At 39.6% G+C, this 13,067-nt stretch overlaps 1 protein-coding gene and 1 long non-coding RNA gene across 33 annotated transcripts in view; one reads left to right on the top strand and one right to left on the bottom strand.

Moving 5' to 3' along the window:
• PLCE1 (phospholipase C epsilon 1) overlaps nt 1-13,067 on the bottom strand; it is a 338,893-nt gene that overhangs the window by 40,714 nt on the left and 285,112 nt on the right. For 16 of the 32 annotated variants that reach the window (XM_047425289.1, XM_047425297.1, XM_047425290.1 and 13 more), the window contains 3 exons: nt 12,199-12,328; nt 8,199-8,320; nt 7,145-7,262 (listed from right to left, as the gene is read on the bottom strand). In XM_047425289.1, coding sequence (XP_047281245.1) covers nt 7,145-7,262; nt 8,199-8,320; nt 12,199-12,328 — 370 coding nt within the window. Of the gene's footprint in view, nt 1-7,144; nt 7,263-8,198; nt 8,321-8,638; nt 8,798-9,277; nt 9,320-12,198; nt 12,329-13,067 lie in introns of those variants that run through there. The other 16 variants (XM_047425285.1, XM_047425287.1, XM_017016310.3 and 13 more) reach the window with 4 other exon arrangements.
• PLCE1-AS1 (PLCE1 antisense RNA 1) lies at nt 5,040-12,820 on the top strand. Its single transcript, NR_033969.1, has 4 exons — nt 5,040-5,269; nt 8,624-8,723; nt 11,481-11,516; nt 11,779-12,820. It is a non-coding gene; the product is annotated as a PLCE1 antisense RNA 1 (long non-coding RNA).

Raw genomic sequence — 13,067 nt, 5'->3', positions numbered from 1 at the left:
TACATTTTGCTCTTGACACAATTACTTAATAATGGATTTTCTCCCAAGTAAAACTGATGAGGGACCAGTGGGGAGGGGCTCTGTTCATTCTGGACTTTTGCCTGTATCCTGCCACATGTCAATATCTTCTACCAGAATGTGGGTACTTCAGTGAAGAGCCTGGTTATTCTTTTGGGATGGGGAGGGGAAGAATGTAAACAAGGGCTGAGTGATCAAAGAAGGGGAAGGATTTTGAATTGTGAGAAGGGGCCCAGAAAAATAATGAAGAAGCAACAAAGAACCTTCATCTACCCCGTTGGCTCACTTACCGATAACAACATTTCCAGAAAGCTGGGATTACAGGTGTGCACCACTAATTTTTGTATTTTTAGTAGAGACGGCATTTCACCATGTTGTCCAGGCTGATCTTGAACTCCTGACCTCAAGTGATCCACCCACCATGCTCCCGACGATGTGCTAATCACACTAGATACTTTATTGCTACTTTTTACAGCAATCCTTTAAGTTAGGACTGTTACACCCCTTTTACAGATAGGGAATCCCAGGTGCAGAGCAGCTATAATACATAACTGTTCAAGTCAAGGTCATGGAGAGACAGAGCTGGGATTTAAATCCACATGGTTAGCCTGGTGGCTGCCTCTCTTCCTCAGCTGAGTCTCTAGTTAATTTTAGGGTCTTCCTCTCATCTGTGTTTTTACTTGTGATTGTGAATAAGAATGCTTATTTTAGATATAGATGTTGGAACATCTGACATGACTAAAGCTTCGAGATGGAAGTTTGAGCAGAAGCCATCTAGGTATTTAGGAATACACCAACTCCAGAACCAGATGCAGTGGTGCACACCAGTAGTCCCAGCGACTTGGGAGGCTGAGGCAGGAGAATCGCTTGAGCCCAGGAGTTTGAGGCCAGCCTGGGCAACTTAGCAAGACTCTGTCTCTAAAAAGAAAAAGAATTACTTAAAAAAAAAGAATAAATTGACTCCAGTGCATATGATGGTATCTTCCTTCAGAAATCCTAATCTGTCTGGAAGCTTTGAAATCAACTCCCTAACTAGACAAGCGATGTACAGTCATTAGCCATATAGCAACATTTAGGTCAACAGACCACGTATATGATGGTGGTCCCATTTAAGATTGTACTGGAGCTGAGAAATTCCTATCACCTTCTGCTGTCCTAACATCCATAGCATAACACATTACTCAAGTGCTTGTGATTAGATTGGTGTAAACAAATCTGCTGCACTGCCAGTCATATAGAAGTCTAGCACATACAATTATGTACAGAACATACTTGGTAATAATAATAAATATGTTACTGGTTTATATATTTACTATACTTTTTATCATTATTTTAGAGTATACTCATTCTACATTACATGTGTATATATGTGTGTGTGTATATATATATATACTTTTTTTTAAGTTACATATATATATATATGTTAACTGTAAAACAGCCTCAGGCAGGTCCTTCAGGAAGTATTCCAGAAGAAAGCGTTGTTATCATGGGAGATGATAGCTCCATGCTTGTTATTGTCCCTGAAGACCTTCAGTAGGACAAGAGGTGGAAGTGGAAGACAATGATATTGGTGATCTTGACTCTGTGTAGATCGAGGCTAATGTGGGTGCTTGTATCTGTTTTTAATAAAAAAGTTTAAAAAGTAAAAAAATAAAAAATAAAATGAAGTAAAAAAAATTAAAAATAGAGAAAATCTTACAGAATAAAGAAAGAAAATGTCTTTGGCTGGAGTCACAGAATGGGAAAAAAAAAAAAGGAGAAAAATAAGAAAGAAAATGGCCGGGTGCGATGGCTCATGCCTGTATTTCCAGCATTTTGGGAGGCCAAGGCAGATCAGTCCAGGAGATCAGCTTGGGCAACATAGTGAGACCCTTGTCTCTAAAAAAAAAAAGAAAAATTAGCCAGGTATTGGTGGCACATGCCTGTAGTCCTAGCCACTCAGAAGACTAGGGTGGGAGGATCACTTGAGCCTGGGAGTTCAAGGTTACGGTGAGCCATGATTCCACCACTGCACTCCAGCCTGGATGACAGAGCAAGGCCAGGTCTTTAATTAAAAAATAAAAATAAGATAAGAAAGAAAACATTTTTATACAGTTGTACAATGTGTTTGTGTTTTAAGCTAAGTGTTATTACAAAAGAGTCAAAAAGTTAAAAAAATAAAAATTTATAAAATATAAAGTTACAGTAAGCTAAGGTTAATTTATTTTTGAAGAAAAATTTTTATTTATAAATGTAGTGTAGCCTTAGTGTACAGTGTTTATAAAGTCGATAGTCATGTACAGTAATGTCCCAGGTCTTCACATTCACTCATCACTCACTCACTGATCCACCTAGAGCAACTTCCAGTCTTGCAAGCTTCATTCATGATAAGTGCCCTATACAGATGTACCATTTTAAATCTTTTATGTCATAATTTTACTGTACCTTGTCTGTTTAGGTATGTTTAAACGCACAAATACTTATCATTGTGTTACACTTACCTACCGTATTCAGTGCAGTAACATGCCGTACAGGCTGGTAGCTTAGGAGCAACAGGCTACACCATCTAGCCTAGGTGTGTAGCAGGCTACACTGTAGCTTTGTCTAAGTTCACTCTATGATGTTTCACACAATGACAAAATAATCTAATGAAGCATTCTCAGAATGTCTCTCCCTGATTAAGTGATGCATTACTGTAAATATAATCAGTGCTAGGCTTTCTTCTGGATGCTCTCCCAGAGACATCAGAGGATTCAACATATTGGCACTGCTAAAATCAGGAGAGAAGCTGAGTCTGGGGATGGTCCGAGAGCCACTCAGGGTCACACGGCTACTTTTCCTTCCTGAGTGCCTTGCCTGCCATGCTCTGCAGGGCCTCATCTTACCCAGTCACTATAGGTCCGAAAAGCTGTGTTCACTGGTTTTGCAAGATATTGGGAGGCACCGAGGGTAATTAAGTTTCAGTGAACAGGGCTACCTCTCAGTGGTGTGTTGGTTGACATTCTCCCGAGAGTTCTGTTCCAAGCCCTCTCATTTCTTGAAATGCATCCCTTTGCCCTCCAAGGTGTTCCAACCTGCAGCACTACTGTGGGTCTGAGTAACCCAGAACAGCCATGGGGGATGGCCAAGGCTCTCTGTGGGGGAGGCAACTCTCAGTGCCAGGGACCTACACCCAGCTAGCCCAAAGCTGTCCAAGGCAGCAGGGTTCTACTTTTGTCATTCAAATGGCTTGTTAGCAAACCACTGTTTGATGAACAAAGCTTGTCTCTCAGTGCTGAGAAAATGACAGTGTGTGTCCAGGGAATGGACTGACACTTGCAAGGCTCTCCCCATGTGGCTCCTTCAGTGTAGGAATAAAAATGAGCCCTGGAAGTCACAGAATCTTCCGGACGAGCCTCACCATGGAATCCCTGGGCACCTGCTCTGTGGACTGTGTGGTGGATCCAAAGGAGAATGAGGCAAAATCCCCCTCAGAATCAGACTTCCAGATCATCTGGCTCTACCTGCTCCTGAATTGCCTGCCTTAGAAACCCAGGGACCAGGACCTCCCAGTGCCTTCCAAATGTAAATCCCTGGTAGAGAGGCCTGAGACTGGGTATGTTAATCAAGTGGCCTGGGTGATTCTGGAGATTTCAGCAAGTGTAGTAAACAAGGATTCTAGTCAACTCCACTTTTGAGTGAGAAAGGCTCAGAGAGATTTGCCTTGGCCAAATCACAAAGCATGGTAGCCAAGAGCCCAGGTCTCTGACCCACGATCTTATCTGATGATCTTGTCACCACTGAATAATTTTTGTCTTACAGGGTTGTAATCTTTTAAGCTATGGGTATGTCAAGGCATACAGAGCAGCGTAATGGACATTGGAGACTCAGAATGAGAGTGGGAGGGAGGTGAGGGATGAAAAACTACCTGGTGGGTATGACTTACACGACTTGGGTGACAGGTGCGCTAAAATCCCAGACTTCATCACTATACAATTCATCCATGTAACCAAAAACTACTTGTACCACTAAAGCTGTCAAAATAAAAAAATTCAAAATAAAAGAACAAGGTTGCACTCCTAACTGTGGAACAACTGGGTATCTAGGAGGTACCCAAACATATGCCTATAAATGAAGGAGCTCCAGAAAGGAGATGTCACAATGAGTTGAAGAGTCTCAGATACTTTCCAAGGACCCCGTCCTTGGAATTTGGAATGGGGCCAAGGGGAGAAGGAAGGCCAGGCAAGGTTGAGAACACTCTGAGCAATGGCCTGGCACTAGAAAGACGGCAGTGTATGTAGGTGCCTGAGGAGAGTGGGGGATGCAGGGGAGCTTGTGGGAAGATATTGGAAACTAGGTTGATGGGGTCATAAAATAAAAATACCATATCCTTTTTTTTTTCTATTAGAAGGAGAAAAAAACCCAGGACAATAGAAGTACTAAATGCAACCGAGAAATAAACCCTAAGAGAAAGCAGGTCGAAAAAATTCAACTACTTCCATAGTGTGGTGCAAAGAGCCCACCCCTGGGAGCTGACAGGAATTCTGGCTCTTGCCCTGCCACTGACCTAGCTTCTGATGGTGGGGAAGTTCCTTCCTTTCTGTGGGCCTCATACCACATGATTGTTGAGTGCCTCATTGCAATGAAGGGTTTTTTTTTTTTTTTTGCATATGGCTTGTAAGAAGGGACTTGGGATGATGAAAGGTGACATACACTGAAATTGATAATGTAGCAAAATTAAAATAAACGGCATAGCAAAATGAACAGTTTATAGTATTTTCCTCATGTGCATCAAACAAATGATTGTAAAAAGAAATATTTAGAAGGTATTATAACAATCATTCTGGCAATCCAATTTAGCTATTTTGAGACAGGAAATAAAATCAGGGAAAAAATGTAAGAAATTTCATTTTTCTAAAGAGAAAATACACTATACCTATGAAGAAATGTATGCTATGTGAACACTTTTAAAAAACAACATACTTGGAATTTTTAAAATAAGCCGAACAACCACATGCTTAGAAGCTCTATCACATGACCTCCTGATCTTCCACGATTCTCTACTGGTACAGAGACTTTATCTTTCACACAGACTTCAAATATCTTTGGGAATTTGTGCTCCTTATTTACTGAGTGCTTGAGAAGAAAAGACAAAGCCAGTGGAATGGTCCGAGTGTGGCATCCGCTGCATTTATAAAGAATAAGAGCTGCAGTGGGTGTGATTCTTGGACAGAGTGGCGCTCATCCTTGTTCCTGCAATGAAGGACATGCCAGCCTCCAGGCTCTTTGACAGGTAAAGGGTTTTACTCCATCAGAAAAAGAGTTTTGCCAGTTGCAAATAATGGTCATATTGTACTTATATGCCATGAGGTCATGGTCTGTGAAATTAAACTTAAATGGCCAGGTTCCTGCATTTCTCTGAAATCTTTGCTGGCTACTTATTGATTCATATCCTCCTCAACAGGATTTGCTAGCAGACAAGCAGTAGCAGCTGCCAAAAGTTTAAAAACAGCTTATAGGAGAAAACTTACAATTAAAATGATTTTAATATCATGAAATATATGATTTTTATCATATCATTAAATAATATGATTTTTTTTACTCTGATGTGTGAAAAGCTCACTATTACCTAACTGTGATTTTAAAAATTTAATTATTATTTTTTAGAGATGAGGTCTTGCTATATATCTTGCCCAGGCTGGGCTTGAACTCCTAGACTCAAGCATTTCTCCTGCTCAGCCTCCCTGGTAGCTGGGATTACAGGCACGCACCACTACACCCAGTTTGCCTAATTTTTAAATAGCCCAATGCCTCTGGCCCATTTGTCAGGCACTGTGTGAGACCAGGTGCTTAAGATATGCTCTGGGAGGGACCTGAGTTCAGCCCATCTTGAAAAGATGAGGGCATTTTAGTGCCTCTCTCCAGGCCAAGTCTATAAATCCTGTTTACTAACATTTAGACTGATCCTCCTATCTCAGCCACTTTCCTGTTCTCAGAAATTATATTCAAGAGAATCCTTTTTCTTAGTATGAGGAGATGAATTTTTCTGAGTTCCATGTACTTAGGGACTTTCTTGTTTGTCTTCTACCCCCTGGTGCCCCATTTGTGGGACACATAATTGAGTACCTCATTGAAAACAGCCCGAAACAAGAGAGGCCAGGCAGTATAACGGGTAAGGGCAGGACTTTGGAGACAGACAGGCTTCAGAGCCATAGGTCTACCATTCATTAATTGAAAAGGACACTGTTTTTGGAAAGTGGTTCATCAGCCTGTCCACTGTACTTCTAAAAACGGTCAATTGGGGGAAATCTCTCCTTCCACTTCAACGCCATCCTTGGTCCTTGTGGTTTGGGTGGGGCCTTGCTACCCAGCTCAGAGTGGAGAATGTGACATGGGATCCAGACCATCAGAGCACTGCATCTCCTGGCCACAGTGATTGGTAAAGGACCCAATGAGAAACAATGACACTTCTGCGGGAAGTTCTGGAAGAGACTCTTACACTGAAGCTGAAACTGGAAGCATGTAGTGCTGGCCTGCTGTAGCCGTCTCGCAACCAGAAGGGAATAAAGGGGAGAAAGCCAACATGATGGAGGCGGAATGAGAAATGAGGAAAGAGAAAGCATGTACCTTGGTTAAGCTATACCTGAAACCTGTGTGTCTTCATTTTTAAGCACATGAGTCAATAAAGTTCCCTTTACTTAGGTCAATTTCTGCCACTTTCAAACAAAAGAATCTTGACTGATATACTCTGAAACTTGGGGCAAATTACTTCATCCCTCTCAGACTTTATTTTAAAATGGAGATAATACCGCCTACCTTGTAGAATCATTATGAACGGTAAAGGAGATGTACGTAAAATAGCACAAATCCTAGTACTTAAGTATTTAATACATTTAGCAATTAGAAATTATGAGTATTATAACTTTTATAATTATTAACTATTATAAAAAGACATTGTGTGACCTGAAAAATGAATACTTTATGGTATTTTTCTTCATGAGCATCAAGGCAAATTATAATAATAAAGATATTTAGGAGGTATTATAACAATGATTTCAGCAACACAATTTAGTTATTTTGAGAGTGTTCACAATGCCCAATTAAATAAATGGCATATTTTTAACCTTTGATATCTTTAAAAGTTATAGATGATATTGCCTAATCTTACCTGGAAATTTTACTGCTTGACAATAGATTACAAGGTCAGAAAGCTCTGGTGCAATCTGTCTGCTTTCCTTTTTATTCTGATCAAGATAAAATTCTTCTCCCAGTTCCATATCATAAACCTGGTAAGGGAAAAATGATACCATTTTACATGGAAGGTATATGCTACTCACCTCTGGATTCCCAAAGCTCTTTTATCTGTCCTCCTCTGGTGTTATTACTGTATTTCCCCTTGCATGGTAATTATCCATATACATGTCCCAACAGCTTTCCTAGAGTAAAAGCTTTCTGAGGGCAGGAGGTGAGTCTAATTCATCCTCCATCTTCCCTCAGTGCATGGTCCACTGTCTTACATGTGGAATGGTCAATAAATCTTTGTTAAATAAATAGAGGATTGACTATGTATCTTCCGTGGCTCAAATTTTTGACATATCTTACAATTCCATTGTCCAACAATGTCACTGCAACTGCGTCTAAAGATTTGCTCAGAGTCTATAAACTGTGAGGCACTTGAGGATAGGGTCTGGGTATCTCATTTATCTTCCTATTCTCAGTGTCATTCCTCTGCTATCTGGCCCGTTTATCTTCTTGGTCATCCCAAATGCCTTTAAAACTTCTTGCAATTCCCTGGACATACCAGGCTGCCCTCTTGGCCCGAATGTTCTGTTTTTGTCTGTTTAGCCAAATCTTCCTTCTGAAACCTCATCTTCCCTGAGAGCCTGTCCTTGATTCTCTGATAACACAGTATAATCACTGTTCTATGCACTTACATTCAACACAGTTGACATGTCTGCCTTCATCACTAAACCACCTCTGTGCCACTTCAGTACCTGCCACACATACACCATTAGTAGGTATTGGCTGGATGAATCAGTGACTAACTTTCCACAAATGGAAGGTGGGTGTCTTTTAATATCACCAAGTGAACTTTGGCAGGTATCTAAGGGAAAGTGAGGGGAAAGGTGAAAGGGAGGGACAGGGAGCAAGTGGAATCTCATCTGAAACTGACAAGAGTACCACATGGTCAAAGTGTCATTTAACAGAAACCGTTCACCCACCTTTCCTTTGTTGCAAGCAGAGTTATCTGCTTTCTTTATCCTCTTTGGGATTTCTTCATTATATTCAAACTGAAGCTTGTCATTACATGATTTATTTTCAGGTCTGTCTTCCAGAATGTTGTCTGAAAATAAGTTAGCAGACTTCAGTGAAAACGAACCCAATGCTTCACTTAAGAGCTACATGTGCATCACTGTGAGGACATCCAGATACTTGTACTTATCTATAAGAATGAGGCTCTAACTATATAGTATGTTAACAAAATGATGGCTTGAAGCATAACTGTAAAAATTGGGTTGATGCAGTTATTTTCAATTTAATTGATTTATTTACCAGTAGTTTTTGTCACTTATATACATAATTTAAATGATTCAAAATAATCTGGCATATAGACATAATCTAAATGAAGATGCCAATTTTCATACAGATGATTGGAACTGTGCAAATATTATGGAAGATACCCCGTGTCAAGAAGCTGACAGCACACACGTTTGGGAAGGATTTAGTGGCTGAAGCACTTCTAGAAGGTACATACATGATTGACTCACTCTCACTTTGAAATGAAGCTATTTACTTCTTTTACCTTGAGAAATGCCAAAACCTAGGGGGAAAGACTTATTATTGGGTGCAATGCAAAGTCTTCACAATTATAATTAAAAAGTAAAGTTTTCATGATTGTTATTAATTTACTAAGTGATAATCATAACAGAAAATAAAATATATCTGAATATTATATCATAAGATATAATCTTATATTTTGCTCTTTTTTTGCTTTTCTATTTGGAATGACTCTAAAGGTATTAGAAGTGTATCGTGATGATGACCTTTTAAAATGAAAAACAAGAAAGCTAATTTCTCACTCAAGATTTAGTATCGCATCATCAGAGCACAAACGATTAGACCAAAAGGACCTTATACCAAATCAGGGCCATGCAGGCTGACAAGAAGTAAATGAGATAAATCATTTCATTACATTTGTATTCACAGAAGTATCACAACGTCATGCTAACCGGGCCCAAGAAATTGGAAACAGAATGCTGACATCCATGCAGTTAAAATGCCCCGTTCAAATGGCATTTACCTTCCTGACCGTTAGGAGCAGGGGAGGCAGTAAGGACATCTGCTACAGAAAAACAGAATCAGAAAGGGGTAAAGGAAGGAGAAAATTAAGACAAACACCAGATAAATTAAACAAAGGCATGAAGCAAAGCACAAATAACAGCAGCTTAGATTATAAATAAATGAAACAGGAAATGCTCTATAGATTTAATATTTTGACTGTGGAACAATGCAAGGACTAGCAGTAAACGAAATGTAAACATTATTAATGTGAATCATGCCAAGGGCTGACACATTCATGTTACATATTTTCAGTTACTGACTGCTGTAATACTCCCAATATGACTTCATTTCAAATGTACAGAAACAGATTAATTTCTTGGAATTGTGCTGTCATTGTCATAGAATATGTCTGCGTTAAGTTGTAAATTCAAATTTGTCTGCAGTGTATGTTCAAAACTAGACACAAGGTAAACAACAAGGTTGGGAGAAAAATATTAAGAATTTATTACCCAAAAGGCAGAGTTACAATTTCTCAGATAAATAACTCTCATTTGCAACTTCCTTAGCGTTTTCTTGCAATAATTCTGTGGCTAGGCATTATCTCATTTTTATAGCCCAAATGGTGTTAGATTAATTCCTTTATTTAATGGGCATGAAAACCAAGGATGAGAGATCACAGAGATAAACCGGGCACCCTGACTTTAGAGATGGGTTCCTAATCTAGGATGCCTATGAGGGTCTCAGGAAACTTGTGAAACTCTTGCAGTTGTGCAGAATTTTGAGAGCACGTTTTATTTTTCAGAGGTGATAGCTTTCATCTGATTCTCAAAAAGACCCATTATTACGAGAAGCTAGGAAACCTTTTAGGCCCCCTAAGAGGCTGGTAACGGTGCTTCCCACAGCAGGTAGATTTCTGTTCTCTATCCCTGCTGGAGAAAGTGGAGATGGTCACAACAATAATCAAAGGCATGTGGTTAGTAAGGCATCTAATAGTCACATACGGAAGCCTTAACTGGACAAGCTTCAACAAGTCACAGCATAACTACAAGGCCTGTTTGAGAATCATCCAGTCAGAGCGATCTTTCAATGAAGGGGGAAATACTCATGTAGTGGTAGTGGGCTTAAGTGGTCATACATTACAGATCTTAGTGCTGGAAGTAGAGGAAGAACATCACCAAACACTTCGCAGAACTTTTGATTACATATCTGAGGCATCTAAGGCCTAAGGTGGTGAAGACATTGCCCCAGGTATCACAGTCTACTGGAACAGAGCCTGGTGTGGTCCCCTTTTCCAATGATACTCCACCTCTGCATATGTGGATTGTTAAAAATACATGCAACTATCTTAGAAATTCAGTGGTATAGGACTAAATTTCCCAAATGAAAATAAATCAGAAAATCCTTCTCCCACCTGTTCATTTTGTTACTTGCAAATCAAAACCATCTATAATAATTTTTTGTTATTTCTTTATGTGAAATCTACAGTATAATAATAATTTCTAAAAAGGCTTTTCCTTTCTTATTCTCAGAAGTACAGAAAAAGCACAGGAGTAATTTATGAAAGAGCAAATTTGTTTTCTAGTGGACTAACTACTTATAGGGGCATATGACATCTAGATTAGTTGATTTCTTAGGTGTGATTTTTATTTCATATCTGAATCAATTAGTTCTATGGGGCATTACTGCAACTGTAATGGGGAAGAAAACCATGGGGAAGAATAAGTTAATATAAAAAATTCACATTCCCATGACTTTGCAGAGAAATTGTCTTGACTCCTTTTAATTTTTTCCCCTCTTACTATCTGATGAGATATGTCTCTCATATTAGCTCATGGGGTTTCAGGTGTAGCAAACTGGCTTTTAATTGGTGGTATGGAGCAATCAACTATTACTAAGGACAAATACTAAATGATGTAGTTTGGTATTATATTTGGGGGCAGACAGTTTGGTATTATATTTGCAGTATAACCAGTGATGGAGGCTCACAAAACTGAACTATGACTGGAGACAACTCAAATTTCTGCTGAGGAGCAGATATTTGGAGGAGGGGGCTCAGTTGTCTTAATGCATGAGACAACTTAATGGTAAATGGTTTCTGGTCTGGGCATATCTGCATATTTAGCAAAACAATTATTCTACATAGAAAGAATATATTCTACTATATAATGTTTATAGAAATAGGAACCTTGGCATTTTCTTATTATTATATTGTTGCCTTTCAGACATCACCAAAATGAAACAGTCTACTATCAGCAAAGGTACCTGAGTAAACATTCTGCAATCTCTAACAAATGTTTAATGCAAATGAAACACACTGAAAACCTAATTCTCATGTGAGAAGAATCCTTCGCTAGTAATCTGTAGTTAACATCATTCGTGTGACTTTTTGTGTTGCGTCATTAGCATTGCCTATGTTTTTTCTCTTTGGTGGGGCCAGAAGGAAAGATCTTGTTGGCTTAGTGGTATGAAAACCAGGGAGGGAGGGGAAATGAGGCTCCTCTCCTTTCTTTTCACTACTAGAATGCCAGAGCAAGAGTGTGAAACAGAGAGCACAGAGCCGTGATGCTGCCCCCTGCCGGTGGTGCAGGAGAAAGGACGCAACCTCAGTCTACGACTCCTGCCAAGATTATCAGCCACGCTAGAAACTAAAGGGTGAAAACAGGGTTTCTCTGCTGCAATTCCATCTCTTCCTCTAGAAACTTGTCGTAGGAATGACTCCCTGTAACTTCCCACACCTGCCTCTTCTTTCTGTAAGTGTTGGCTAACAGAATCCCCTCCTTCCTCGGTCCTTGCTAAGTGACTGAATTCAGAAACTCCTGGACAATATTACAACCATCCGTATTACTGGTCTTTGGCGCTCTAGACTTATTTTAGAAAGAAAAATGTGGCAAATCATCCAAGAATTTTCCTGTGCACAGCATAGGGATCTGTTTCTCTTACCATCAGAAAGGGATTCATAGTCATAATCATATTCGTCCTCCTCATCTTCCTCTTCCTCATTATTGGCAGGTCGGGGGTTGGCATTCCCACCATTATAAGCCTGCACTTGCATAGATGCTAACTGATGAGCCTGTAAAATAGCAATAATTGTAAACTGCAGATGCCAAGTTAATGAATTCATTTATAACCTTTAAAACTACCCCTGATGTTTAACACAATCGTTAAAAGTGGCTTAACCTATTTTGATACATTTGGGAGAGGAGAAAAAAATCTAGATTCCCTCGAAATGCAATGTCAACACTTGGGTGAACGTTAGCATTCCTACAGGAAGAATCCTGGAGCTTTTATAAACAATCTCCAGAAGACTGTGTGCAGTGCCCAGCTAGCCAGGTTCCCAGGACAACCCCTCCAAGAGAAAGCTTTGGTGATTTGGAGAACCAGCATCAATCCCAAGTGACTGAAGAAGTGAATCACCCATCAATTTTTCAGAAGTATGTCTCTGTTAAGAAACCATTTTTTCCCCTTCTTAAAATAATATCTACAGGCTCCTGACCTTGAGAACAATATTAGAATCCCTATGGACAAAGAGGCCAAAAGAATTGTTGTTGGTTTAAATAAAATTGTTTTCAAACGGCTTTCTGAACCATAAATCAGATTAACAAAACAGGCCTAGAAACTTTAGGAAACTTGATGTGTGCAGCCAGGGAGGTCACATACTCCGTGTTTACTGGAATTACTGTGAAGTGATAAGCATCAGTACAGGTCTGGGAACCTACCTAGCTTAAGAAAATCATCTGAAATATAGGAAACGTTACTTGCATGAACTAAATGCAGGAAACAATCTAAACGGGGTAGAGGAACGGGGTCAG

Source organism: Homo sapiens, chromosome 10 (genome assembly GCF_000001405.40).
Source record: "Homo sapiens chromosome 10, GRCh38.p14 Primary Assembly".
In the NCBI taxonomy this organism is placed as follows: Eukaryota; Metazoa; Chordata; class Mammalia; order Primates; family Hominidae; genus Homo; species Homo sapiens.
This window is presented reverse-complemented; position numbering and strand designations above follow the sequence as displayed.